This window comes from Homo sapiens, chromosome 3, assembly GCF_000001405.40.
Source record: "Homo sapiens chromosome 3, GRCh38.p14 Primary Assembly".
Taxonomy (NCBI): Eukaryota; Metazoa; Chordata; class Mammalia; order Primates; family Hominidae; genus Homo; species Homo sapiens.
In genome coordinates, this window is record NC_000003.12 from 58,007,938 (window position 1) to 58,035,841 (window position 27,904).

General features: G+C 47.9%; 1 protein-coding gene across 4 annotated transcripts in view, besides 8 other annotated features; it reads left to right on the plus strand.

Moving 5' to 3' along the window:
* The window catches only part of FLNB (filamin B), a 163,830-nt gene continuing 136,410 nt past the window's right edge, over nucleotides 485-27,904 (plus strand). For all 4 annotated transcript variants that reach the window (NM_001164317.2, NM_001457.4, NM_001164318.2 and 1 more), the window contains exon 1: nucleotides 485-919. In NM_001164317.2, the coding sequence (NP_001157789.1) occupies nucleotides 628-919 (292 nt within the window). In that variant the 5' untranslated portion in view covers nucleotides 485-627. The remainder of the gene's footprint in view (nucleotides 920-27,904) is intronic.
* Nucleotides 5,653-6,153: an enhancer, noted in NCBI's record as "H3K4me1 hESC enhancer chr3:57999317-57999817 (GRCh37/hg19 assembly coordinates)". NCBI's record gives its function as "activates a minimal SCP1, AML or CMV promoter by ChIP-STARR-seq in naive H9 embryonic stem cells {active_cell/tissue: H9 hESC(naive)}" and the evidence as "EXISTENCE:reporter gene assay evidence [ECO:0000049][PMID:30033119]".
* Nucleotides 6,180-6,693: an enhancer, noted in NCBI's record as "H3K27ac-H3K4me1 hESC enhancer chr3:57999844-58000357 (GRCh37/hg19 assembly coordinates)". NCBI's record gives its function as "activates a minimal SCP1, AML or CMV promoter by ChIP-STARR-seq in naive H9 embryonic stem cells {active_cell/tissue: H9 hESC(naive)}" and the evidence as "EXISTENCE:reporter gene assay evidence [ECO:0000049][PMID:30033119]".
* Nucleotides 6,694-7,206: an enhancer, noted in NCBI's record as "H3K27ac-H3K4me1 hESC enhancer chr3:58000358-58000870 (GRCh37/hg19 assembly coordinates)". NCBI's record gives its function as "activates a minimal SCP1, AML or CMV promoter by ChIP-STARR-seq in primed H9 embryonic stem cells {active_cell/tissue: H9 hESC(primed)}" and the evidence as "EXISTENCE:reporter gene assay evidence [ECO:0000049][PMID:30033119]".
* Nucleotides 7,207-7,720: an enhancer, noted in NCBI's record as "H3K27ac-H3K4me1 hESC enhancer chr3:58000871-58001384 (GRCh37/hg19 assembly coordinates)". NCBI's record gives its function as "activates a minimal SCP1, AML or CMV promoter by ChIP-STARR-seq in primed H9 embryonic stem cells {active_cell/tissue: H9 hESC(primed)}" and the evidence as "EXISTENCE:reporter gene assay evidence [ECO:0000049][PMID:30033119]".
* Nucleotides 11,836-12,818: an enhancer, noted in NCBI's record as "NANOG-H3K27ac-H3K4me1 hESC enhancer chr3:58005500-58006482 (GRCh37/hg19 assembly coordinates)". NCBI's record gives its function as "activates a minimal SCP1, AML or CMV promoter by ChIP-STARR-seq in naive H9 embryonic stem cells {active_cell/tissue: H9 hESC(naive)}" and the evidence as "EXISTENCE:reporter gene assay evidence [ECO:0000049][PMID:30033119]".
* Nucleotides 12,819-13,799: an enhancer, noted in NCBI's record as "OCT4-NANOG-H3K27ac-H3K4me1 hESC enhancer chr3:58006483-58007463 (GRCh37/hg19 assembly coordinates)". NCBI's record gives its function as "activates a minimal SCP1, AML or CMV promoter by ChIP-STARR-seq in primed H9 embryonic stem cells {active_cell/tissue: H9 hESC(primed)}" and the evidence as "EXISTENCE:reporter gene assay evidence [ECO:0000049][PMID:30033119]".
* Nucleotides 13,800-14,781: an enhancer, noted in NCBI's record as "OCT4-NANOG-H3K27ac-H3K4me1 hESC enhancer chr3:58007464-58008445 (GRCh37/hg19 assembly coordinates)". NCBI's record gives its function as "activates a minimal SCP1, AML or CMV promoter by ChIP-STARR-seq in primed H9 embryonic stem cells {active_cell/tissue: H9 hESC(primed)}" and the evidence as "EXISTENCE:reporter gene assay evidence [ECO:0000049][PMID:30033119]".
* Nucleotides 26,931-27,430: an enhancer, noted in NCBI's record as "H3K4me1 hESC enhancer chr3:58020595-58021094 (GRCh37/hg19 assembly coordinates)". NCBI's record gives its function as "activates a minimal SCP1, AML or CMV promoter by ChIP-STARR-seq in naive H9 embryonic stem cells {active_cell/tissue: H9 hESC(naive)}" and the evidence as "EXISTENCE:reporter gene assay evidence [ECO:0000049][PMID:30033119]".

Here is a 27,904-nt window from a genome sequence, read left to right on the forward strand (position 1 = left end):
GTGGAATTACACTTTTCTCTTCCATTAGGCTGTGTGAACTCCTTGAGGTTGTGCAATACGTTTGTCTGATTTACTACTGGTTAGCAGGCTCTGAGAAGAATGGCTGGTACACAGGCGGAGCTCAATAAAAGCCCTTACTGAATTTTATTCAATCTATATGTGGATGAAGACCTCCGCCCCGCGCGCCCCTCCCGCAAGTCCCACTGAGGCCCGACCCATTCTGTCCGGCTCCCAGCCCCCGCGGGTCCCCCCACCCCGGGGCTGACCGGGTGATTCAGGCAGCCCTACATCCTGCTGGGGTGGTGGGCTTCGAGCGCGGGTCCCAGGACGCAGTGGGGCGCAGTGCCTGCGGCAGGCGGCAGGAGGCGAGCGTGGCCCAGGAACTCCCGCGGGAGGGTCGGGACGGGGCGGGGCTTGGGGGCGGGGCGGCTCAGCGCGCAGGCGCGGGGCCAGGCGCCTCGCGCGGCCAGGGGCGGGCGGCCGCAGAGCAGCACCGGCCGTGGCTCCGGTAGCAGCAAGTTCGAACCCCGCTCCCGCTCCGCTTCGGTTCTCGCTCCTTCGGCCCTTGGGCCTCCAAACACCAGTCCCCGGCAGCTCGTTGCGCATTGCGCTCTCCCCGCCACCAGGATGCCGGTAACCGAGAAGGATCTAGCTGAGGACGCGCCTTGGAAGAAGATCCAGCAGAACACGTTCACACGCTGGTGCAACGAGCACCTCAAGTGCGTGAACAAACGCATCGGCAACCTGCAGACCGACCTGAGCGACGGGCTGCGGCTCATCGCGCTGCTCGAGGTGCTCAGCCAGAAGCGCATGTACCGCAAGTACCATCAGCGGCCCACCTTTCGCCAGATGCAGCTCGAGAATGTGTCCGTGGCGCTCGAGTTCCTGGACCGTGAGAGCATCAAGCTCGTGTCCATCGGTGAGTTCTCTGGCCGGGCCCAGGCGCCCACTGTGGTGCCGACCCGCCCCCGCGCGTGCACCCCTGCGGAGGGCGAGGATTTCCCGCAGCGCGCCCCCACCTCGGAGATAAGGGGGAGTCGTCCCCAGGGGTGGGTTATAGGGGGCCTAGACCCCCTCCCCGGTGTCTTCCCCTGGGATGGGACCTGTTGTGATCGCTCCCCGCCATCCGCCCCAGCAGTGCACCTTTGGCTGGCTAAGGGTTGAGGGTTTGGGCTGGGGTCACAGGAGGAGAGGTGGAGTTGTTGCATTTCTCTACACCTGGGGCGCCCCTATGGGAGCTAGGGGACTAGAAACCCTCGTTCGCTGTCCCCGGGGGCGGGCCCTAGGGTCAGATGCTCCGCGGAGTGCTCTCCCTGCTGCGCCCAGGTTGGTGCTCTCAGAGGCAGCTGAATGGGCGTTGGCTCGGAGGCCGGGCCGTGAGACCTGAGGAGGAACCGTTCTCTGCGCCTGGGGCCTCCCTGCCCAGGTGGAGACAGAGACCTGGTACCTTCCCCTGCCGTCGCTGGAATGGGTGTGGGCCCCGAGGTTGCAAGGGTAGGCGCGGGTGTGTGTCCTCGCTCTCTCTGCTCCCAGCTCAGCTCTGGCCGCGCGCCGCAGGTTGAACCCACTCCTTGCTGCCGAAGTTATAATTTAGAGATGGTGGTGGTAACAGTAATTGCTGTCTTGTAGGGAGCCCAACTAGCGTCCACTGTGTACCGTCAGCCTTCTAAGTTATCTCCGTCCCTACGCATCCTGCCATCTGGGGTGAGGCTAGACCCATTTTACAGATAAGGGGGTCCGGAGGGTTAATTGACCTGTCCAAGGTCAGCAAGTAGGGCCCAGCTGAGAACTGAAGGAAGTGGGCAACAGTTAGAAGGAGGCTTTGTTTTCCTCTCCTCTCCCAAACCTACACCAGGGTCTTCCTGAAAGGAGGGAGGGAATTGGTGTCTCTTGCTGGACTGGGCCTTCTGGTCTGGGGAGGAAGAATAAGGATGAAGTCTCCCTTGTGGTCTGAGATAGTTGGAGGCTTCCCAGAGGGCCACAAGGCTACTGATAGTGTGGGCTGTGATGGTAGGGGCTGTGATGTGTGTGTGCATGTGGGCGTTTGTGCAGAGAACGTGTGTACACACATAGCATGTGTGTATAGCATGTGCATATGCAAAGAGTTTGCATGTACACGGAATGTATGCAGAGAATGTGTATCCACCTACACGTGTGTATGGGTGTGTGTATGTGTGTGTGTGTATGTGGGTGGGTGGGTGTGGGTTGGGGCAGAGGAGGGTTCTGGGTCTGGATCTCTTCCTAAGGAGAACCAGGGACTGGCCCTGGCCTGTGATTTGGGTCTCTTCCTGAGGAAACCAGGTCACTATAGTGACCCTAGTGACAGGAAGAAAGGGAGATGGGTGTGGCTGCCAGGACTTTCTCCAGTGGAAAAGGGATTCCCTCTAGGCTGAGCCTCCCCTGGGCCTTAGGGCCTCACCCTTCCCTTCCCCCACACCTGTCCTGGCAGGTAAGGCTGCTTCCTGCTTCCTGGGCCCAGATGGCAGCCGCACCACCCAGCTGATCTCCAGCAGCCCTCCCCCTCCCCAAGGGTGGCTTCCCTGCAGAAGAATCTGCATGGCACGCTGTTGTCTTCTTTCTGGGGTCCATCTCCTGTACTGGGGAGGGAGAACCTCAGAATCTCCTGGAATTCTTTACCATTCAGAAACCAGCCTCCCCTCTGAAGAATCCCAAGGCCCAGCTGGGCTCAATTTGGATCTGTTCTTTGTTTTAAAAATGTGTATTTATTTAATTAACTGAATAAAGAAACTTAAAGTAAACCAGAAGTATCCAAATACGACATGAAATCTCTAAAACAACAACAAAACCAAACCAAACCGCAGCACTAGCAAATCACAGACTGCCTGATCTACCCACTGTTTACAGAGGCAGCAGCTACTTCCAGCACTGTCTCTCATCAGTGCCCGGGGCTGTGGGTCTCATTCTAGATTTTGTCTACATTTTTTTACATGGTTCTCCTGATTCCCTGCTCCCCCTCCCCACCACCGCCCCGCCTGGAGATGGAGCCTTGCTCTGTCTCCAGGCTGGAGTACAATGGTGCCATCTCTGCTCACTGCAACCTCCACCTCCCGGGTTCAAGCGATTCTTCTGCCTCAGCCTCCTGAGTAGCTAGAATTACAGGCACATGCCACCACGCCCGGCTAATTTTTGTATTCTTAGTAGAGATGGGGTTTCACCATGTTGGCCAGGCTGGTCTCGAACTCTTGACCTCATGATATGCCCGCCTCGGCCTCCCAAGTGCGGGGGTTACAGCCCTGAGCCACCGCGCCCAGCCCGGTCCTCCTTTTATTTTCGAATCCACTCAGGCCCTAGCTACTCCCATTGTCCCGACGTTCCAGGGTTAGTTAGCTTCCCTTCCTCTGTGCTGGGCCTGTGGGCTGTTGGCAGCTTCTTCCTGTTCCTACCACAACTTGCATTCTATTTTTTTCCTTTTTAATGATTTCTTGGATCATATTCCCCAGAGTGACATTCCTGGGTTAAAGGGTGTGACCACATTTATGACTTGTATCATTGGCTGCCTAATTGCTCTCCCGAGAGATCTTGCAACAAACAGGTTTTCCAGCCTCTGGAGACCACAGAGAGCCCTGGCAAGTGCCAGGACTGCTGTGGGGATAAAGCAGGAGGCTTCTTCCCTAAGCTCTTGAGGCTGTTGTGGGTAATGGTCCTTCATCCTTCAAGGCAAAGTTACCTCCAGCTTGGACTAAGGTTCATATATTCACTGCTTAGGTTGTGTTACATTGTGCTGACAATGACACTAGCTTCAATTTGGGGGCACCTACTGGGTGTTAAGTGTGTTCTGTTGATCACCCCATTGAATTTTCATGCTAATCATTGATTGACAGCAACTACTGCCCTATCTCTAATGATCTGCTTCTGCAAGTCACTTAGAGAGTTCAGGGCTTAACACTGTCCTGGGCATGTGTTGCTTAGAAAATGGCGCCTGTTAATTAAATAAGGTGCTGTCTAATAATTATCTCAAAAGTAATGCCAGGGCTGGATGCCGTGGCTCACGCCTGTAATCCCAGCACTTTAGGAGGCCAAGGTGGGTGGATCACCTGAGGTCAGGAGTTCGAGACCAGCCTGGACAACATGGTGAAACCCTAGCTCTACTAAAAATACAAAAATTAGCTGGGCATGGTGGTGCACACCTGTAGTCCCAGCTACTCGGGAGGCTGAGGCAGGAGAATTGCTTGAACCCGGGAGGTGGAGGTTGCAGTGAGCCGAGGTCTTTGTGTAACTGCACTCCAGCCTGGGAGAGCGAGACTCTGACTCAAAAAAAAAAAAAAAAAAAAAAGTCATGCCCGAATGGTTTGCACACCGAAGGGACGTTCAAAATTAGGGGAGAACAGCCTGGTTGTTTGTTTCTGTTTGGTTGATCATACTCTTGCCATGGTTAGTATTATTATCTTTATTTAAAGATGGGAAACAGGAGTGAAGCCACTTGTGGAGGTGACCCAGCTAGCTAGTAAATGGTGTCTGAAACCCAGGTCTGCCCAGCTGTTGAATTGGAGCCTTAACTGACTTGCCTTCCAGTTTCAGAGATGAGTAAAATACAGCTTTTCTCTCCACATCAGAGGGTCCCTGCAACACTAGGTTTGCAAGTCTTAGGTGTTAGGGTGGTGGCTGGATACCCACACTCTGAACCTCTGACCTTGGACAAAATAGGGATGTCAGGGCCTTCCATGATTGGCAGGATGAATCCTCTGGGCTGTGATGAAGGTCTCACAAGTTGAGAGTCAGCCGGGAATTAAGTGGGATCAGTTTGCCTCTTGTGTTTTCCTCATTGTGTTTTGGTTGGTTGGTTGAGATTTCCTACTACCCAATGGATGATGTTTTATTCCATCGTCAGGGAAGGTATCATTGAATGAATACAGGGTTTTGTATGCTTTGGATAAGACCAGACAGTTGTGGAGTCATTAGAATTGTGTACATGCCTCCAGCTCTGAGATAGGTGGTGTTTCAACAGCTGCCAGAGGACTCTGGCTTTTCTGCCTAGAATTCACTGAAAGACAACCCTGGCTATTGATTCACATTTGTGGTTCATTGTAAGGTAGGCCCCTAGGCGCCATCCAAAAGTTGAAAATTTCCTTACGTTTCTTGTTATGTGATGGGCAGTTCATAGTGAGGACTCAGTGTCTTTAATTCCAGCTGTTTGCCAGGAGTTGGCAGTTTTATTTACTTGTTTTTCCAAAAACCTTTCTGACATGGGGCAGTCCAGCCAGCTGGGAGGAAAAGGGGTCTCTCAGCCCAAGAATGATGATCAAGGCCTAGAAGTTTGGGTGGTGTGTTTTGTTTTGGGCCTTTAGAGAAAGGAATTGTTTCCTTTTCAGAGGATGTGGTCTAACCCTAAAGTTTACTTGACTGACTTAAACCAGGCCAGCGCCAGAGCAGGCAGGGTGCGTGTTCCCAAGACTTCGGGTCACTAGGCAGCTTCCAGGGTGGTGGGTCACTGGTCCAGTCAGCTCCTTTTCCTTCCTCTCCCTTTTGTGCTACTACTACCAAAATAATTTCCAAATAACCTTAAGTTCTGCTCTTTCTTGCATGTCTAGCAGATGCCAGCATGTCTTTTGGGTAGTACAGAGAGTGCTTAAAAAGTAGCAAAGTTGGCCGGACGTGGTGGCTCATGCCTGTAATCCCAGCACCCTGGGAGGCCAAGGTGGGTGGATCACCTGAGGTCTGGAGTTTGAGACCAGCCTGACCAACATGGAGAAACCCCATCTCTACTAAAAATACAAAATTAGATGGCCGTGGTGGTGCATGCCTGTAATCCCAGCTACGTGGGAGGCTGAGGCAGGACAATAGCTTGAATCCAAGGGCAGAGGCTGTGTTGAGCTGAGATCATGCCATTGCACTCCAGCTTGGGCAACAGGAGCAAAACTCCATCTCAAAAAAAAGTAGCAAAGTAGCATGCTTTGTCAGAATTATTAATAACAAGTTGTGGGCCATGTACAAGGTGGCACATTAGCATTCAATGTCACTTGTGTAGTAGTTAAGAGCAAGGATTCTTGGTTCAAATCCCACTTGCCACTAAGTAGCTATTAGAAACTTCTGTGCCTTGGTTTCCTTATCACTAAAATGGGGATAATAACTACCTTCTTAAAAGGCTGTTATAAAGATTAAACAAGTTAATAATTTTTAAAGTGCTTGGCACAGTTTATGGTACATAGTAAGTGCTCTGTGAATGCCTGTTAATTAAATAAGGCACTGTTTAATAATCTCAAAAGTCATGCCGGAAAGGTTTGCACACTGAAAGGGCATTTGAAATCAGCGCGCTCTGGGGAGAACAGCTTGGTTGGCTAAGGTTGATCCTACTTGCTAAAATACGGCTATGGACTGCCTAGAGGGTGTCACCTCCTTGAAAGGGGCTGCCCCCTGCTATGTTATGGCTGCCTCCAGGGCCCATTCACACCAGCTTTGTTTCCAAGCTGGACAGGGAGCTCCAGGCGTCTGGTCATTCCAGCCTCCCACCCCTTTCAGGAATCTCTGGGCCAAATCACTTCCAGATGGTGGTTGGGCCTCTGTGGAGTTCTCCCAGCAACGGCGGAGCCAGCATGCCAGTCGGCAGCCGCCTTCGTTCTTGGAGAGTCTGAGCTAAAGGAGGGCTTTGATTTGGAGCCAAATTGTGTCTCTTGGGTCCTGGTTTTGTGCTGTGAGGCAGGTACCATGGAGTGGGCTGCTGGCTTAGTTGAGGATGGCTGCCCTGCTCCTTAGGGGAGCAGATACCCAGGGCCTGGAGCCTTTAGGCCCTGCCTCCAGTAGCTCCATGGTCAGGGTGCCAGTCACCTTGCGTTTTCTTTTTCTTTTTTTTTGAGATGGAGTCTTGCTCTGTCGCCCAGGTTGGAGTGCAGTGGCGTGATCTCGGCTCACTGCAACCTCTGTCTCCCGGGGTCAAGCAATTCTCCTGCCTCAGCCTCCTGAGTAGCTGGGATTACAGGCGTGCGCCACTATGTCTGGCTAATTTTTGTATTTTTAGTAGAGATGGGGTTTCACCTTGTTGGTCAGGCTGGTCTCGAACTCCCAACCTCGTGATCCACCTGCCTCGGCCTCCCAAAGTGCTGGGATTACAGGCGTGAGCCACCGGACCCAGCCAACTTTGCTACATCAGTTTCCAGGTAGCATATCCTAGGCAAAACTGGATGTAGCCTAGTGATTCAGGGCCTCGGTCTGAAGCTAGACTGTCTGGATTCTAATCCGCACTCTGCCTGATACCAGCTGTGCAACTCTAGTCCACTGCTTTAACCTTTCTGTGCCTGCTTCCCTGTCTATAAAATGCAAGAGCAAAATAGTTGCTATCTTAGAGTTGCTGGGAGCATTATATTTGATGAGGTTAAGTTATAGCACAGTGTTGTCATTATCACTATGAATATTGTGCTTTTGGACCCAAGTCCAGGACTTTGTCTTGTCTTCTGTCTATTCTCTGGCCAGTCCAGATATTTTTGGAATCCTATTGCTGTCATCTGGTGTGTTAGCTGTTCCCTTTCTCCAAGTTCAGAACGTCTGATGAAGATGTCTCCCAAGATCCTTTCTTCCTTTCCTCATTCAACAAATATATGAAAGCCCATCTCTGAACCAGGCCCTGTGCTGGGTGCTAGGACAACAGGAATGAGAGGATCATGTCCTTTGCTTGCCTCAGATACTGCTCAGAGGAGAAGAGACAAGCAAGCAGGGAGAGCCATGCAGAGGAGAGCTGCTCAAACCTTCAGGCCCATGCTCATCACCTGGGGACTTTGTTAAAAATGCAGGTCTGATTGAGTAGGTGCTGGGGTGTAGGCTGGGATTCTGCGTTTCCAGTCAGCTTCAGATCCTGCTGTCTGTGCACCGTGCTGTAAGTAGCAAGGATCTAGGTGCCAAGCCCTCTGAAAAGGAGGAGCACCTGCCCCTAGGCTGGGTATGGGTAATCTAGAAGGTTCCCTGGAGGAAGGGACCTTTCAGCTAAGACCTAAAGCGTGACTAGAATTAGGCAGGCAAACAGACATTTACACAGGAGCAGACGAGTGTGTCAGTTTAGAGGTCTTGATGCTCAGGTCAGAGGGGCAGTGGAGGGGTGGGCAGGGCTGGTTTACCAAGGGCTTTCTGAAACTGGAGGCTGCCTATGGGGTATGCTCCTTGAGTTTGTTTGTTTGTTTTTTTTTTTGAGTTGGAGTTTCAATCTTGTTTCCTAGGCTGGAGTGCAGTACAGTGGCATGATCTCGGCTCACTGCAGCCTCCATCTCCCGGGTTCAAGAGATTCTCCTGCCTGAGCCTCCCAAGTAGCTGGAATTATAGGCATGTGCACACCTGGCTAATTTTGTATTTTTAGTAGATATGGTGTTTCACCATGTTGGTCAGGCTGGCCTCGAACTCCTGACCTCAGGTGATCCACCCACCTAGCCTCCCAAAGTGCTGGGATTACAGGCGTGAGCCACGGCATCCAGCCCCTTGTTTAGTGTAGGGTAGTAAACCCAGCCAAAAGGGGTCGTTTATCTCAGGGGTCTCACCTGTTGCTCCAGTCATTCCTATTAGCAGAAAGTTTTGTATGTGCCCCTTCCTCATATATATATATATTTATATATGTATTTATATATATTTATAAGTTATAAACATACTCTACTGTCAATTTGTATATTAAATATTAGTAAATCTTAGTTTCTTTTTAGATGACAAATCCAAATATAAAATCTGTTTTTTTCCTGGCTCTAACGGATTATCTTATGTCCCCTTGGGGTGGACATACCTCTTTTGGAGGCTCCCGTGAAGGTTTGTGTTTCTACATTTAGTTTTTTTCTTTTTTCCATATTCTTGTTATTCTGCTTTTAATTTTCATCTTTGAGTATTCTAAATTAAGGAGCTGGATCTGTAATTGTAACACCTTCCCCCAACAATAAGTTTAACTAATGAAAATATTCAATGGAATGAGCCATTTTAATCTAAATGGGGCTATTTCCTGCTTTTATAATGATTACAGTTGCTTTTCATGACATTCTACTAGAAGCCATCTTACATTACTGTTGTAAATCTAGTTATTCATTAAACGGGCACAGTAATCCCTAAATTGGCTCAGGTTATTGTATAATAAACAACAATACTTTCTTCTTCAGGAGCTTGAGAAGTGATCTTGTATTTTTAAGGTGCCTAACTAACTTTTCATGGGAAACTGAGTCCATGTACTGGGAAGAAAGCTTTTTGGGGAAAATGATTAGAAAACCAAATGGGTCTCTTTATGACTGAAGTGATGAACCAGCAGGTGAGAGTAGGTATAGATGGTACAGAGGACGGAATTACTGGGTATTTTAATCAGGCCCACTTAGTATCACAATTTATTATTCTATTCTATTTTTATTATTATTTTTTGAGATGGAGTTTCGCTCTTGTCATCCAGGCTGGAGTGCAGTGGCGCTATCTCAGCTCACTGCAACCTCCGCCTCCCGGGTTCAAGAGATTCTCCTGCCTCAGCCTCCCAAGTAGCTGGGATTACAGGCATGCGCCATCACACCTGGATAATTTTTTTGCATTTTTAGTAGAGATGAGGTTTCTCCATGTTGGTCAGGCTGGTCTCGAACTCCCGATCTCAGGTGATCCGCCCGCTTTGGCCTCTCAAAGTGCTGGGATTGCAGGTGTGAGCCATCGCGCCTGGCCAGTGTCAGGATTTATTCTGTGGGAGGGGAGGAGGACAAAGAAAAATACTGAGCTATGTTTGAAGCTCCTGCCCTCTAAGAGCCTTAGAGCAGCTGACTTAAATGTGTTCCTTTGATAAACTGTAGATGGTTGTTGTAACTCTTCTGCAAACTGTTTATTTTTAAAAACAATTTGATGAGATTTTACTTATGCCCATTGTTTGAGTACAGCATTTACCAAAGAACAATTTTGGCCAGATCCCATGCAGTAGAATGCCCTTGGCCAAAATTTTCTTGTACTATAAGCAAAGAAGCAGTTTGGTTTTTCACTTAGGCAAGACTGCCTATCAGACTGAGTTATTGTGACAGAGCCGCTGACTCTCTCCCTTTCCCCATTATCAAAATCTGGCTTTTCTAAGCAGCGCATGTAAAAAGCTTGGCAAGGAGGACCCTTGTCCTCCTACATATTATTCTTTGGCTCTTCTTGGTACCAAGAATACATACAAATAATGCTGGCTGTGTACTGAATGTTGAGGTGTGCACTGTTGAGGATATTCATCCTCTAATATAACATCTAGTATTTCTCACACCTTCCGTCTGCTGAGCATTGGTCTATCTTACTTATACTACTTCTAATCCTCGTGAACTCTGCAAAACTAGTGGCTTTACATCTATGAGAAAAGAAAAGAACTTTTATCGGAAGAAGGTGAGTCCTTTTAAAGTATCAGGCCTGGAAAGACATTAAATGAGACAGCGAACACATCCTGCTACCCTCTTTGAGCTATGTATTCATTGACTTTTTTTTTTTTTTTTTTTTTTTTTTGAGGCAGAGTTTTGCTTTGTCACCAGGCTGGAGTGTAGTGGTGCAATCTTGGCTCACTGCAACCTCTGCCTCCGGGGTTCAAGTGATTCTCATGCCACAGCCTCCTGAGTAGCTGGGATTACAGGCGCCTGCCACCTTGCCTGGCTAGTTTTGGTATTTTTATTTTTATTTATTTATTTTAAGACAGGGTCTCACTCTGTCACCCAGGCTGGAGTACAGTGGCGCGATCTTGGCTCACTGCAACCTCTGCCTCCCGGGTTCCAGCGATTCTCCTGCCTCAACCTCTCCAGTAGCTGGGATTACAGGCGCCTTGGCACCACAGCCAGTTAATTTTTTGTATTTTTAGTAGAAACGGGGTTTCAGCATGTTGGCCAGGCTGGTCTCGAACTCCCAACCTCAGGTAATCCGCCTGCTTTGGCCTCCCAAAGTGCTGGGATTACGAGTGTGAGCCATTGTGCCCCGCCTATGTATTCATTTCTTAAAATTGGTTGCTGGCTAGGTGTGGTGGTACATGCCTGTCCTATAATCACAGCACTTTGGAAGGCCGGTGCTGGAGGATCTATTGAGGCCAGGAGTTTAAGACCAGCCTGGGTGAGATCACATCTCTACAAAAAAAAAAAAAAAAAAAAAAATTATCTGGATGCAGTGGCACAAGCCTACATAGTTGTAGCTGCTTGGGAGGCTGAGTTGGGAGGATAGCTTGAGCCCAGGAGTTTGAGTCTGCAGTGAGCTATGATTGCGTCACTGCACTCTAGCCTGGGCGACAGAGTGAGACCCGTTTCTAAAACAAAGAAATTGCTATTGTCACAATTAGTTATAAATTAATCTAATAATGCTGCACGCAGTACCATAATCCACACCCTATAGCTTAACGATGGATGGCCAACCACTAATCAATGCTATTTCTGTACGCCAATGAGAATTCCTGACAAAAAACTTTGTATCAGCCCCACTCCCTGTCTGTCCCCTCTTTTGCTTTTAAAAACCTGCTTGTAACAAAGGCCAAACAGAGCTCATATCCAAGGTTACTTGGGCCTGAGTCTTTCAGGCAGCTGTCTTCACTTTGGCTCAAGTAAACTCTTTAATAGTTTAAATTTTAAGCCTCTGCCTCTTTCTTTTAGGTTGACATCTGTTTCCATTTTACAGATGAGAAAACTGAGGCTCAGCTCTGCCTCACTTTACAGGTCAGGCTTAATCCCTAATCCCTGCCTGCATCATGCTGTAAAGGACTTTTGTGTCAAAACTGAGTTTCACACTCTGTAAAGTAAAATAGATATATTGTAGTGAGAGGGTGTAGAAGAGACTGTTTTCTGCTTCTGTGGATTTTTTTTCTTCCTGTTTTGCTTTGCTCCAAACTTTACTCATTTGCGCTTGATTCATGTGAAACTGAAATTTCCTTCTACAGAACAAAACTTTTTGGGGGCTACTTACCATATCTTTTCCCACACCGTGGAGCTCTGACTGGGACCTTTTCCAGTTTTTGGAGACATTGCTCCAGTTCTTTCCCTGCCTTTGGTTTCCAGGGGGCAGTAATGTCACCGCAGGTGTGGACAGTAGGGACCAGCTAAAGGTTGCTTTGGAGGAGGTGGGCAGGGCTTTTGTTTGTGAGGTCTAGAAACCAGAGGTGAGGAAGGAGGTGTCCCTGGAACTCCCCCTGGCTGCAGGGCTCACAGCACACACCATGACACCACAGGGGTGTGTGTGTGTGTGTGTGTGTGTGTGTGTGTGTGTGTGTGTGTGTGTTGAGGGGAGTGTTGTTGAGAGCCAACTATGCCAGGAGATCCTTGGTGACAGCGGACATAGGCACAGCTATGCTCTGTCAGGAATGAGTTCACCCACACCCTTTTCTTCTGCTACCTTGTTTAACTGGTGGGAGGGTGTGCTGGGTTGTGTTTGCTGGTGAGCCCAGCAACTGCACCCTTCTTTCCAGGCCTAGCACCCAGCCTTTATCAGTCTCATGGCCCTGGCACAAGTGGGCAGCCTGCTTCCAATCCAAGCAGGCAGCTTTCCGCTCATCTGCAGGTAGCCTCGTGCTGTGGCAGCACAAAGTTGTGTGAGCCAGAGCTGAACTTGTGATCCCCACGGGCATCTCCTGAGGCGCACCTCTCCTGAGAGAGAAAGCTGGTCCGTCCAGCCCATTCAGGGCTCAGCCTCCCCAGCCGTCGCAGGGCTGGCTTGCTGAAAGGTCTGGGTGTTAACACAGCACTCCTGTTCTCTCTCTCTGAAGGCCCTTTATGCTGGCATGAATTCCTTTTCTCATAGAGATCTGAAAGCTCTTTTGACTAAATGGGTCACCTTTCTGAGTATTTTCATAAGGCTGTCAGCCTTTACCATGCCAGACAAGTTTTCTGGAATTTCCTTTCCAGAAAAAAAAAAAAAAAAGGCTACTAAAGAGGTTGGAGTTATTTGGAACACAGGGTGGAATTCTGGCATTCGAACTATAGGGAAACGGGTGGGGATTTGTGGCAGGCACTATGTAAATTTGCCGCAAGCCCATAAATTCAGACTTTAAGATGAAAGATGGCAAGCAGCAGTCAGCTTTCCTTCAACAGGCAGGAACGGTGCTACCTTCCGCCTGTGCTGAGTGTGACTGAGGGAGAGGCAGGCCTCCTAGGGAGGCCGGGGCAGGAAAGGTTTCTTGGTGGCTAAAATAGGATTTCTCAGTTTCCCCCGTGTCCCAAGAAAATAAGTTCTTATCATGCTTGTACCACACTTCTTGTGCGTATCACCCTGGTTTCCCTGCACCTCCTTGAAGTGGTTTATCAGATTCCAGGGACACAAGAATGGTTTGGCATCTACAGCCTATTGTGGGAGCAGGGGCCCGGCCTGGTGCTTCTTGCCCAGGAACAAACTGATTGTTCCCTTGGTGTGGGGTAAAGCAGGCCAGAGTATGGGACCAGGCCCTGCCTCCCAGGGGACCTGAGGTGCAAGGTCTTTGAGCTGAGACCCTAAAAGGCCTTTGTGAGTCTGTAGTGCTATCAGTTGAGCAGAGTTCAGGGTTCTGTTTACAAGATTCCCTCTCAGCAGAGGCAGGGAGGGGTACCTGCTGGAAGACCAGGAATGTGCTGCTGCTGGGATGGGGGCCCTCGGTGGAGCTTCTAGCCATCTGGAGGCAGAACCCAGAATGTGTTCTGAGTGAGGCGCCTTGGCAGAGTTGGCTTGAAAGCACCTAGGCAGTGGCTTGTCACATTCCTTATCTCCACCAAAGGAGGCAAGCTAGCACCTGGGGGATGGCTCTCCCATCAGGGAGTCCTTTACAGGATGTGATCCAGGTGTCACATTACACTTCCTGCAGGTGTGCACCTCTTACCTAATTGTCTCTCCTATCCCTTTTTCTCAGCACTATTGTCTGACATCCATGGGGAGTCACACCCAAAGTTGGGCATGAGGTCCTCTCCTGGGCACCCAACACCTTGTTTTTTTGTTTTTGTTTTTTTTGGAGATAGAGTCTTGCTCTGTCACCCAGGCTAGAGTGCAGTGGTGCCATCACAGCTCGCTGCAGCCTCGACCTCCTTGGCTCAAGCGATCCTCCCACCTCAGCCTCCCACGTAGTCAGAATTACAGGCACACACACCAACACTGCTGGCTAATTTTGTATTTTTTGTAGATTCGGTTTGCTATGTTGCCCAGGCTGGTCTTGAACTCCTGGGCTCAAGCGATCTGCCTGCCTCAGCCTCCCAAAGTGTGGGGATTACAGGCATGAGCCACCTCACTTGGCCACACTGCCCTCTTACTGAGCCGTATTGGTGTTCTAAATGGCCTTCTTACTCTCCCACGGGTCATCAGTGCTCCAGGGGCAGGCGCTGTGTCTCTTGTTTACCTCTGTGGCTCTGACCTTGGCACTTAATAGGAATTTAATAAATAACTTGTTAAATAAACAGTCTCTAGTATAATAGCTTGAGTATTAAGACTGGTACATTGACTTATTTGCAATTCAGAAAATGCAAAACAGTGGTTCTTTGCTGCCTTTAGTGAAGTGGGAATTATATGTAGTAGACAACTGGGTCTGGGGTCCCAGTGGAACACTTCGTTTTTGGACTGTGATGCTGAACTTAAAGAACTCAGCAGTTCATGTTCATTCTCTGGACATCTGTGATTTGCTTCAACAACTGTTAGAGAACAAGGCCTTTTCCAGGTGAAGCTCAGAAAATGAATTTAATAGGAAATTACTGAAAGTCACAATCATAGTAACAGTTTCATTAGTTACAGTGAATATAGAGAGAGCCCATACAAAGTACCAGGCATTGTGATAAACGCTTCTTACTAATAGCTATACAAAACATCATTGCAATTCTGAGAAGTAGTTATTGTTGTAATTCCCGTTATGCAGATGAGAAAACTGAGGCACACCCAGATTGGCCAGTGAGTGTGTGGTTATTACTCAGATTCTTGTCTGAGATTTTAATCTTCATATTTTACTGCTTTCCCAAGGAAAGCCATCAGCTCAGCAAGTCTTTGAAATTTGCTTCTTTTTTTTTTTTTGAGACAGAGTCTTGCTGTGTCTCCCAGGCTGGAGTACAGTGGCGCAATCTTGGCTCACTGCAACCTCCGCCTCCTGGGTTCAAGCGATTCTCTTGCCTCAGCCTCCCGAGTAGCTGGGAATATAGTTGCATGCCACCACACCTGGCTATTTTGTATTTTTAGTAGAGACGGGGTTTCACCATGTTGGCCAGCCTGGTCCTGAACTCCTGATCTCGAGATCCACCTGCCTCGGCCTCCTAAAGTGCTGGGATCAGGCTTGAGCCACCGAACTCGGCCTTTTTTTTTTTTTTTTTTGAAATGATGTCTCCTTTTGTTGCCCAAACTGCAGTCTTGGCTCACTGCAACTTCTGCCTCCTGGGTTCAAGTGATTCTCCTGCCTCAGCCTCCCGAGTAGCTGGGACTACAGGCACGTGCCACCATGCCCAGCTAATTTTTGTATTTTTATAGAGACAGGCTAAGCTTGTCTTGAACTCCTGACCTCAAGTGATCCACCTACCTGGCCCTCCCAAAGTGCTGGGATTACAGGAGTGAGCCCCTGTGCCCAGCCTGAAATTCAATTCTAATAAATTTTTATTGGAGCATTAAAAAGTTACATCTGTAGTTGTTACTCTTTGCAAAAAATTGCAAGAACACAGAAAAATATAAAGAAAAAAATCACCTGTGAAGAATTTTAATGAATCTTTTTCTACTTTTAGGGGATTTTGCTTACAGCTGCCTTTTAATCAGAATAGGGAAGAAAGAGATTCCTTTCTCAGGAAAAAAGTGACTGTGGACTGGAAATGCTTTGTGAAATAATTTTGGTCATACTGATGGTTATAACAAGATTCGTCTTCAATTGAGTTATTGCTGAGCTTTGTCCAACATTAAAATGAAAGGTCTCATTTGAGTCTCATTGTGGTTTGCAAGTCTCCCTTGGTCTAGAAATATGTTTGGTCAACCACGGCATGGAGGTGTTCCAGCCACTTTCTGTCTCTTAAAAGTTTTTAGGACCTACTTTTATTGGGACTGCCAGGGTCTCTTAATAATAGTTATTATACTTGGTAACTATTGTGACCTTGTCTCATAGGCAGCCCAGCATAGAAACTCATTTAGCTTTTAGTTGCTCAGCTCCATTAGCTGTTTAAACATGTTTCAGATGTGAGCCTGACAATGTACTTGGGCAGCTTGGTTCACCCTTGACTGCCTGGGAACTTTGAGAAGTCTGAAAATTATATGTAGCCCTAAGGTCTTCATGGTATTGTTTTTTTGGAGGCACCATTTCCCAATAGCCCTGAGGACACCAGGCCCATGAAGCCATCCTGTCTCAGCCAGGAGGCAGAGGAGATGGAATGGAAACCACTTCTGGATACAGATCCAGCCACTTCCGGAGTGCTTCAGAGCATGGGTCAGATAGACCTTGCTGCTTTCTAGCTGGCAGACTTGGGGAAGGTTGTTTGACCTCTCTGAGTTTGTGTCCCAGACTATAGCAGTACCCCCTTACTGGCGTTATCGAAGATAAAATGATATAATCCTGATAAATCACTTGACCCAGTCCTTGGAGGTGGTGGTGGGGGCTGGGGTAAGTGCCCCATGAATGGTGGTCATCATGCTCCCCACCAACCTCCTTTCTCTCTTCTCCTTTCCCGTCTTTCACACCCCTAATTCCTGGACCTGGGGGTGGTCTCTCCAGACTAGATGAAGAAGCAATCTAATTATCTAGGAAGGTGAAAGGTGGTTGGGAATACTCCCAGAAATAGGCCAAAGATACCGCCTCCTACCTAACAGACTCTTTTTAGAAGAAGAGGCAACCTGGGTTTTTGGATAACTGTTGAGTAGGAACCATCATGAGTGGCATTTCTGCATTTCTGGTCTTCTGGCCAAGCCTCCTTTTTTTTTTTTTTTTTTTTTTTTTTTAACCTTGAGACAGTCTTGCTTTGTTGCCAGGCTGGATTGCAATGGTGCAGTCTTGGCTCACTGCAACCTCCATCTCCCAGGTTCAAGCGATTCTCCTGCCTCAGCCTCCTGAGTAGCTGGTACTACAGGTGCCGCCACTATGCCCAGCTAATTTTTGTATTTTTAGTAGGGACGGGGTTTCATCATATTGGCCAGGATGGTCTCAATCTCTTGACCTCATACTCTGCCCGCCTCGGCCTCCCAAAGTGCCAGAATTACAAGCGTGAGCCACTGAGCCCAGCCTTCCTTTTTTTTTTTTTTTTTTAAGTAGCTCCATTGCCCTCCCTCACCCTTTCTTTTGTCTCCTGTAATGTCCTTCCCTTCCATTTCTTTTTTTTCTTTTTTCTTTTCTTCTTTCTTTCTTTCTTTTTTTTTTTTTTGAGATAGGATCTCATTCTGTGGCAAAGGCTGGAGTGTAGTGGCACATTCACGGCTCATTGCAGCCTCGACCTCCAGGACTCAGGTGATCCTCACATCTCAGCCTCCCGAGTAGCTGGGACCACAGGCACACACCACCACACCCGGCTAATTTTTGCATTTTTTGTAGAGGTAGTGTTTTGCCATGTTTCCCAGGCTGGTCTTGAGCTCCTGGGCTCAAGTGATACTCCCTCCTCAGCCTCCCAAATTGCTGAGATTACAGGCATAAGCCTCTGCACCTGGCCTTCCCTCTCATTTTTTTTTCTTTCCTGGTTTTGCCTGTCCCAGACCACCCTCTTGGAAAGATGCTCTCCCAGCAGCGGCAGTAAGGTCCTGGTCTTGTGTTTGCTCCTGGGCCTGAGTCTTGGCTTTGCTGCTTTGTAGCTAGCTGGCTGACACCAGGGAGCTGCTTCCCTCCAGGAGCCTGTCGTCCATATGCTGAATGTGATCCTTAAATGCTCTGTCTTACAGGGGCCAGACATTGTGGCTCATGCACTTCAGGGGGCTGAGGCGTGCAGATCACTTGAGGCCAGGAGTTTGAGACCAGCCTGGCCAACATGGCGAAACCCTGTCTCTACTAAAAATACAAAAATTAGCCGGAGGTGGTAGTGTGTGCCTTTAATTCCAGCTACTTGGAAGGCTGAGGCAGGAAAATCGCTAGAACCTGGGAGGCGGAGGTTGCAGTGAGCCGAGATCATGCCACTGCACTCCAGCCTGATCAACAGAGCGAGATTGTCTCAAACAAACAAACAAAAAATGTTCTGCCTTACAGAGTTCTTAGGTATAAAAGAGAAGGTGCCTCTAAAGCTCTTGGCACCGTGCCTGGCTTATAGTAAGTGCTTGGTAAACGTCAGCTGCTGCTGTTGTGGTGTTAGTATCAGCATTGTTGCTGTGAGACCCTGCACTTCCCACTTAGCCTTGGAAAAATAAGTCTTCACGTTAATGCCATGGGCTACCGCTTCTCTTTTCAGGGCTTCTTGGAGGAGGGTGGAGATGGAGAGACAGGTGGGGGACTGCCAGGGTTACATCCTCCATGAGGCTGAGGCTGTGCTGACTGCCTTGTGTGCTTTCAACCTGGAGTAAAGGGTGGCTGTGCCAGCTGCTCCCATCCCCCAGGAGTCTGACTCGTCCCTGCCTTGGCCCTGGGCAGCACTTTCCCTCCTAGCTCTTTGGCATCTGGGGTCATGGTGGGGCTGCCTGCCATCTGTCAAAATTTTTGCTGCCCTGGGTGTGGTGGTAAACCCCCGCACTATCCAACTTGGTGTCATGGAGCTGGCGACAATATTTTTACAGTGGTTAGTGCTTGGAAACTGGACTTCTGGGTTATGCCCTGTACAAACAGCATCAAAGTCGCTGGGCTAGGGTGACAGAGGAGGCTGCCAACAGGGAATTCTGTGGCTCCTGGGACAGGAATGGATATGGGAGGTTGGGGGCCAGTATTTTCGGTTCTCTTGAGGAGTTGGCGAGTATTAGTCTTTGCCCTGATGGATAGAAGGAATCTGTCTGTGTCTTGCATGAACCGTGTACTTCCCCCAGTTACTCCTTGGACACCAGCTGCCTGCTGTTCATAATTGGGCCAGATTTCTAATACTGCAGCGCTACCAAATGTCAGTTTTAGGCCATCTCTGGTGTAGCCAGGGAACGCCCAACACCTTTCCCAAAGGTAGAATTTGTGTGGGTTTTACTTCACTGAGTGACTAATGCAGATCTTTATGTTTTAATGATGGGAAGAAATTCGTCAGCCTGGGTACTTTTTCCATGTGATGGGGCAAAAATTTAAAACACTTGCACAACGGCTTTTGTTTCTCCAGCTACTAAAGGTGACTGTCATTTAGGCATTATCAGTATGATCAGCTGATGTTAACCCACTCCCCTTCTGGAGACCCGTTTCTGTTTCTGGGAAAGGTGTAGGACATGCTGGATTTGGCAAGATTGCAGGTCCCAGGCAGATGTCCGGACTTAGACTCTGGCTCTTTTTTTTTTTTCCAGACAGGGTCTCCCTCTGTCACCCAGTCTGGAGTGCAGTGGCGCGATCTCGGCTCACCACAACCTCCGCCTCCCAGGTTCAAGGGATTCTCCTGCCTCAGCCCCCTGAGTAGCTGGGATTACAGGCGTGCACCACTATGCCCAGCTAATTCTTTTTTTTTTTTTGAGATAGAGGCTCACTGTCACCCAGGTTGGAGTGCGGTGGCCCGGTCCGCCTGCCTCAGCCTCCCAAAGTGTTAGGATTACAGGTGTGAGCCACCGTGCCTGGCCTCAGCTAACTTTTGTATTTTTAGTATCAACGAGGTTTCACCATGTTGGCCAGGCTGGCTTTGAATTCCTGGCCTCAATTGATCTGCCCACCTCGGCCTCCCAAAGTGCTGGGATTACAGGCATGAGCCACCGCGCCTGGCCCAGACCCTGGCTCTTACTCCTAGGTCTACCTCTACCATCACTGGGGCCCTCGCCTGAACCTTTTGCCCCATCTATAAAATGGGAGAACTAGACTAGGTCTGTGTCCCCCAAGCTTCAATCATTTGTAAAGGAACCACCTTTACTATTTTGCCATATCCCACGGCTGTCTCTATTTCATTTTTCACTTAATATTATTTTCCCCTGCAGTTGACTCACTTGTAAAACAAATGTATTTGAAAAGGAGACTTTGTGTCACTATAATAACGGAAAAACAGCGTCACTAGGTAAATGGAAGGTAACCATAAATAAACCCCAAACAGTTATTAAATTCCAGCCAGCACTGTTGCCTGTTCACAACATGAGGCATACTCTCTTTTGGTTAAAAAGGGAAATTAGCAAGAGATGGAGAGGTGTTGAAGGTAACCTAGCACTACATTGAGCCTTTTCCTTGACCTGCTCAGGAGGATTGAGAAAGAACTAGGAGAACTGGGAAGAGAATAACGTCTTTTTGTGATGCAAAGTGCCTGAGTGTGACCAAGAGCTCAGAGTAGTAATGTATAGATGCTTTGTTTGGATACTTATGCAGCCATTACCATGTGCCAGGGGTGTAGAGGGGCTAGGAGTATAGAGGGGATTGGGACTTGTTCACTGACTTCTGGTTGCTTGTGGTCTAGTAGTGGGGAGGTGGTCATAGAATATTGAATACAAACGAAGATCGAACAGGCTGCAGGGGTTTAATAGGAAAATCACAGGACTAAATTCTGTCATGTGTACATGGGGTCTACAAATAAGAGTTGTTTAGAATTTTTTTTAATTTAAATTTCCCATGAAATATAAATCTATTTCATTCCAGAATGATTCTAGAGAAGCTCTAAATACATTAAAGTTGTGTTGGCTGGGTGCAGTGGCTCATGCCTGTAATCCCAGCACTTTGGGAGGCTGAGGCTGGAGAATCACTTGTGGCCAGGAGTTTGAGACCAGCCTGGGCAACATGGGAGACCTTATCTCTACCAAAAAAAATTTTTTTTTCTTTTCTTTTTTTTTTTTTTGAGACAAAGTTTCGCTCTTGTTGCCCAGGCTAGAGTGCAATGGCATGATCTCAGCTCACTGCAACCTCCGCCTCCCTGGTTCAAGCAATTCTCCTGCCTCAGCCTCCCAAGTAGCTGGGATTACAGGCATGTACCACCACACCCAGCTAATTTTGTATTTTTTTTAGTGGAGGTGGGATTTCACCATGTCGATCAGGCTGGTCTTGAACTCCTGACCTCAGGTGATCCACCCATCTCAGTCTCACAAAGTGTTGGGATTACAGGCGATAGCCACTGCACCTGGCCAAAAACATTTTAATAAATTAGCTGGGTATGGTGGTATGTGCCTGTAATCCTAGCTACTTGGGAGGCTGGGGCAGGAGGATCCCTTGAGCCCAGGAATTCCAAGCTGCAGTGAACTATAATCAGGTCACTGCACTGAAGCCGGAGTGACAGAGTGAGACCTTGTCTCTTAAAATAAATTTGTGTCATTGTTTGTTGTTTTTATGGTGTTATGACAATGATCCATCTTAACCCTTTATGTAGTGGTAACTAACTTTCTCTTTTCCTAAAAGCTGATTTGAGTTTTAGGTTCTCTTGGAGTCTGTGACAATTGTAAATAGATAAGATATAACAAAATGGCCTGAAATACTCTTGCAACACTCATATTTCCCCCCTCAGATTAGCATGTTCTATACTCTCTGCAAAGCAAGATATACACCAGAATTAGGCCTCTAAAAAGCCTCATACTGCTAATCTCTGGGAATGAATGGTGTTCTTTGGGATAATGGGATATGAAGCTCAGTCTGATTTTTCTGTTCTGCTGGTAGCTTAGGGCCCCCTTTCTTCTGTTGGGTTTTTTGGGAGAAGGGAAGTTGTGATTAAGAATGAGAATTCTTTTTTTTTTTTTTTGTCTCAAGAGTCTTGCTCTGTCGCCCAGGCTGGAGTGCAATGGCTCGATCTCGGCTCACTGCAGTCTTCACCTCCTGGTGTCAAGCGATTCTCCTGCCTTAGCCTCCAAGTAGCTGGGAATACAGGCACCTGCCACCATGCCTGGCTAATTTTTTGTATTTTTAGTAAAGATGGGGTTTCACCATGTTGGCCAGGCTGGTCTCGAACTACTGACCCCATGATCCCAACCCCCCCGACCTCCCCGGCCTCCCAAAGTGCTGGGATTATAGGGGGGAGCCACTGCGTCCAGCCAAGAATGAGAATTTGGGAGTCAGGCACCTCTGGGATTGAATCTGGAATTGACTGAGTGTACATGCTTTCTCTGAGGCCTCCGTCCTCACTGCTCTCATCTATAAACTGGGAATAATCATAGTTTCTATCTGAAACAGTGGGTGTGAAGATTTAACGAGCTAAATTGTAAAGTGCCTGAGACATGGGAAGAAGTCAGGATGTGCTAATGGGTAATCTTACACTTCCCCAATGGAAAGGGCCAGGTTTATATTACTCTAGGCTGGTAGTAAGCGAGGCAAAGGAGATATCAGGTTTCAGCTTTGTTAGAACATGCTAATGGCACCAGGACACTCAGAAGAGATACAGAGTTTGAGACAAATGGCACCATGAGCCCTGAGACATTGTGTATGGGGTGAATCGGATAGCAAGAATAGACTTCAAGGAGGGAAGTAGGGCAGTTAGAATCCTTTCAGCTGCAAGGAACTGAAAACTGGCTCACATAGAAGGAAAATGATTGGCTCATGTCAGCAAGCCTAGATGCAGAGCAAGTTATGGGTTTCAGGGATCCAGCATCTAAATGATGTCATCAAGAACCCAAGTTTTTTGGGTCTCTGCTCTGTTGGTTTCTTTCATCCTAAAGCTGGTTCTCCTGTGGTTTACCATAGTAGAGTTCCTGTGAGAACTCCACTCTGACCAATCAGGCCTTCCCAGAGCCAGGGATGGATGGAGTCGCTTCTTTTGAGGCCCATGGGTCCTATCTGGAGGGGATGGATCCAGACTCCTATCAGGAATCTAGGAGGGGCCGGGCACGGTGGCTCATGCCTGTAATCCCAGCACTTCATAATGCCAAGGTGGACAGATCACTTGAGGCCAGGAGTTCCAGATCAGCCTGGCCAGTATGGTGAAACCCCATCTCTACTAAAAATACAAAAATTAGCTAGGCGTGGTAGCAGGCGCCTGTTGTCCCAGCTACTCGGGTGGCTGAGGTGGGAGGATCACTTGAGCCTGGGCACAGAGGTTGCGGTGAGGTTGTGGTGAGCTGTGGTTGCGCTGCTGCCCTCCAGCCTGGGCAACAGAGTGAGACCCTGTCTCAAAAACAACAACAACAAAATCTTATGTACCCCATAAATATATACACCTACTGTGTATCCACAAAAGTTAAAAATTAGAAAAGGCAAATTGCAGAGATTTCCATATGCTATGATACCGTTTATATGAAGTTTTACATATGTCATAAAAATACAGATAACCTTTAGGGGAATGATCATTACCAAACTTTTGGATAACGGTTTCTGGGGATGGGCAGAGAGGGCTATACAGTCATGAAGAGGTGTATAGGGGCTTTCAACTCTTTGTAGTGTTTTATTTCTTCAGTCCCATGGTGGTTATATGATTCTTCACTCCCCTTTTTTTGTGTGGAATATTTTTCTTATAAAAAGTGTGTCTTTTATTTATTTATTTATCTTTTTCACATGGAGTCTCACTCTGTCGCCCAGGCTGGAGTGCAGTGTTGCGATCTCGGCTCACTGCAAGCTCCGCCTCCCGGGTTCGCGCCATTCTCCTGCCTCAGCCTCCCGAGTAGCTGGGACTACAGGCGCCCGCCACCACGCCTGGCTAATTTTTTGTATTTTTAGCAGAGACGGGGTTTCACTGTGTTAGCCAGGATGGTCTCAATCTGCTGACCTTGTGATCTGCCTGCCTCGGCCTCCCAAAGTGCTAGGGGATTACAGACGTGAGCCACCGTGCCCTGCCTTTTTTTTTTTTTTTTTTTTTTTTTAAAGGCAGAGTCTTGCCCTGTTGGCCAGGCTGCAGTGCAGTGGCCTGATAATGGCTCACTGCAGCTTCCACCTCCCAGGCTCAAGCAATCCTCCCACCTCAGCCTCCTGAGTAGCTGGGACTACAGGTATGTGCCACCAAGCCTGGCTAATTTTTCCATTTTTAAAGGTTTTGCCATGTTGCCCAGGCTGGTCTCGAACCCCTGGGTTCAAGCCATCCTCCCACCTTGGCCTCCCAAATTGCTGGGACTATAGACGTGAACCACTGCACCCCCATCCAAAAGTGTCATTTTAATGCTGACATACTGCATTACTAAGCTTGACCAGGGGAAGAGAAAAAAAAATACCTTGTGTTTATTATTTTGTTTGTTTGTTTGTTTGAGACAGGGTCTTGCTCTTTCTCCCAGGCTAGAGTGCAGTGGCATGAACATGGCTCACTGCAGCCTCCACTTCCCAGGGTCAAGCCATCCTCCCACTTCAGCCTCCCAAGTAGCTGGGATTACAGGTGTGTGCCACCACACCTGACTAATTTTTCTTTTTTTCTTTTTTTGTATTTTTGGTAGAGACAGGGTTGCCCAGGCTGGTCTTGAACTCCTGAGCTCAAGCAATCCTCTCTTCAGCCTCCCAAAGTGCTGGGATTACAAGTATGAGCCACTGTGCCCGGCCTGTTTGTTTGTTTTAAAGACAAGTTTGGGCCCAGTTTATAAGAAAAGAAAACAGACCATCCTTAGGGTGTCAGGATGATATTTTGACAAAGGCATTCATGCTTAGCAGGATTTCTCTCCCCCTACCCCCACCCCAAGTGTTGAAACGGCTGAGCTAATTACCTTAGAATGTAAGGCTTCCTCTGTTGCTTGTGAACGTGGCAGACTTGGGATTCTCAGAGACAGAGGGCTTCAGAAGCTTGCCTCTGGGAGCGTCCAGTCAATAGCTTTTTGTCTGAGCAGAAGGAGATATTGCTCAAGGTACCATCTCAAGGGACTGCTGAATCAGTTGCATTGTCTCTAAAAGTAGGTAAAAGTCTAGAGTAGGGCTGGTTCAACAGTGGAATGAGTGTTAAGAGAGAGTTGCATTCTAAGAACACCTTTACACTGTGGCCAAATTCAAGCAGGTCCATTTTGTGGTTTGGTGGTCCCCATCTAGTGGGATGTGGTCTGGTATCCCAGGCACCTGCATATATGAGCTCAGATGGGTTTAATTTTTGAAAAACTGCTTTATTGGCTGGGTGTGGTAGCTCATGCCTGTAATCCCAACATTTTGGGAGGCCAAGGCAGGAGGATCTCTTGAGCCTGGGAATTCAGGACCAGCCTGGGCAACATTGAGAGATCCCCATCTCTACTCCCTTCCCCGCCAAAAAAAAGCTAGGTGTAGTGACATGCACCTGTGGTCCCAGCTACTCAGGAGGCTGAGGTGGGAGGATTGCTTGAGCCCGGGAAGTCAAGACTGCAGTGAGCTGAGATTGCATGACTGCACTCCAGCCTGGGCAAAAGAGTGAGACATTGTCTCAATCTCCCCACCCCTGCCAAGAAAACCCAAAAAATATTGAGGTATAATTGTTATACAATGAAGAACACATTTTGATTAGCTTATACACACACTCCTGTGTACACATGTACACTCACACATCAGGAAACCATCACCATAATCAAGACAGCGAACCTCCCTATCCAGCCCCAGAAGTTTCCTTGTGCCTCTTTGTAATTCTTGCCTTTTATCTCTCCATGTCTTCCACACCCATGCTCAAGCATTCACTGATCTGCTTTCTGTCATTATCAGTCAGTTTTCATCTTTTAGCCTTTTATATAAATGGAATCATATAGTATGCTGTTTTGTTTTTTTTTGAGACAAGAGTCTCACTCTGTTACCCAGGCTGGAGTGCAGTGGTGCGACCTCGGCTCACTACAACCTCCATCTCCCCAGATTTAAGTGATTCTCCTGCCCTAGCTTCCCGAGTAGCAGGGATTACAGGCACATGCTATCATGCCTAGCTAATTTTTGTATTTTTAGTAAAGATGGGGATTCACCATGTTGGCCAGGCTGGTCCCGAACTCCTGACCTCAGGTGATCACCCGCCTTGGCCTCCCAAAGTGCTAGGATCACAGGCATGAGCCACTACGCCCTGCCAGTATGTACTCTTTTTGTCTGGCTTCTTCTAGCATAGTTATTCTGAAATTCATCCTTGTTGCATGTGTCAATAGTCCTATTCCTTTTTATTGCTGAGTAGTAGTCCATTGTATGGATATACTACATTTTGTTTATACATCCTTCTGTTGATAACATTTGGGTGGTTTCTTATTTATTTATTTATTTTTGAGACGGAGTCTCACTCTGTTGAACAGGCTGGAGTGCAGTGGTGTGATCTTGGCTCACTGCAACCTCCACCTCCCGGGTTCAAGCAATTCTCCTGCCTCAGCCTTCTGAGTAGCTGGGATTACAGGCATTTGCCACCACACCTGGCTAATTTTTGTATTTTTAGTAGAGACGGGGTTTCACCATGTTGGTCATGCTGGTCTCGAACTCCTGACCTTAGGCGATCCGCTCACCTCTGCCTCCCAAAGTGCAGGGATTATAGGTGTGAGCCACCACGCCTGGCCGGGTGGTTTCTAAATAAAGCTATCATGAACATCTTTTACTACTCTTTGTATGGATGTATATTTCTATTTTTCTGAGTGGAATGTTAGGATCATACATCATAGGTGTACGTTTAACTGTTCAAGAAACTGCCAAACTGTTTCCCAAAGTGGTTGTATTGTTTTACATTTCCACGAGCAGTGTTTGAGAGCTCCAGTTCTTGCACATCCTAGCCACAAAAAGGTTCTGTTTTTTAAAGACAATTTTTTTTTTTTTTTGAGAGTTTCGCCCTAGTCGCCCAGGCTGGAGTGCAGTGGTAAGCGAATCCCTGCTACAGGCCAGAGACTGTTCTCAGTTGGTTTTTACACCAAGTATCGCACTTCATTCTAACACTCCACCATTTTACAAATGAGGAAACCGAGGCACTGAGAGGTTTAGTAACTTGTGGCACAGCCAGGAAGCAGTAGAGAAAGACTTTGAATATAAATGTATCCATTAGGATGTATATGGTTCCAAGTCATGGGAAACCTACCTAATCCTGGTTTATCCAAAAAGGGAGCTCATTGGCTCTCGTAACTGAAAAGTCAAGGGGTAGGCAGGCAGTTGGACCTGGAAGTCTCCAGGGCATCAGAGAGCCTTGGCTCTGCTTCTCTGATTCTGTTGTCTCTCCACAGACGGGTGGGTGTAGCAGTCCCAGGCCCGCAGCCACACCCCACACCTCCCAGAGGAAGAAGGCGGGCCCTGATCCCAGCAGTCCCAGGAAAGCCCTGAGGTTCACTGTGATTGGACCAGCCTATGTCACCTGCTCACATCTCAGCCCACCACTGGCAAGGGTGTTTGACTCTTGGGAATGACTCTTGGGACTGGCTTGTCCTAGATCACATGTTCTACCTGAAATTGGGGACATTGCAGAGGATTGGTGGAGTGGACCTCAAGGAGGTGTTTCACGTGGCTTCCTGTGTCACTAGGTTGCCATTTATTCTTTAGAAAGCCCCTTTGTTTGATGAAACCCTGGTGTCACAGGCTGTGTGACTTAGGGTAATCCCCTTGTCCACATCTGTGAAGTGAGATTACCTCTTCACCTCACAGGCAGATCAAACAGGAAAACAAAAACAAAACCAAACCCAAAATACACGTAAATTGCAGAGTGCTTGAGGTTTCTTTTAAGCTGTCTATGTAATTAAAAGCTGTTACTTAGACTTGGATATGAAATAAAATCTGACTTCAAATTTAAGTGGTGTAATTTCCATGCCTCTTAAAATATCAGGTAACTTCATTTGTGAGCCTCAGTCTGTAGACTTGAGGGATTTCCATCTGAAGAGGGGGCAGAATGGTGGTTTAGGGAACGCAACATGTACCCCACCCCCAACTTTTTTAAGAGGAAGAGTTGAAAGAAATAATGAATGTGTGAGAAATAAGGGGTTTGATTGCCTTCCAGGGTCCATGTTGAAGGAGAGGAAAATGTAGCTCAACCACAGTGACTCTCCCCAATTAAAAACTAAAAAAAGATCCGTGGTTATAGGGCTTGGACTTCGGACAAGCCAGCAGCCTCAGTCATTGTGAGTGTGATTCCAGATTGGAAGGTTCTGCTAGGAGGAAAGTGGAAGTTTTGAGAATTCCTAGTTGGACAGAATGCCTCTTGATCACGGCCTTAGCTAAAGGAGACCACTCTTTGCTGGATGGATCAGTCAGCTACGTGTGAAG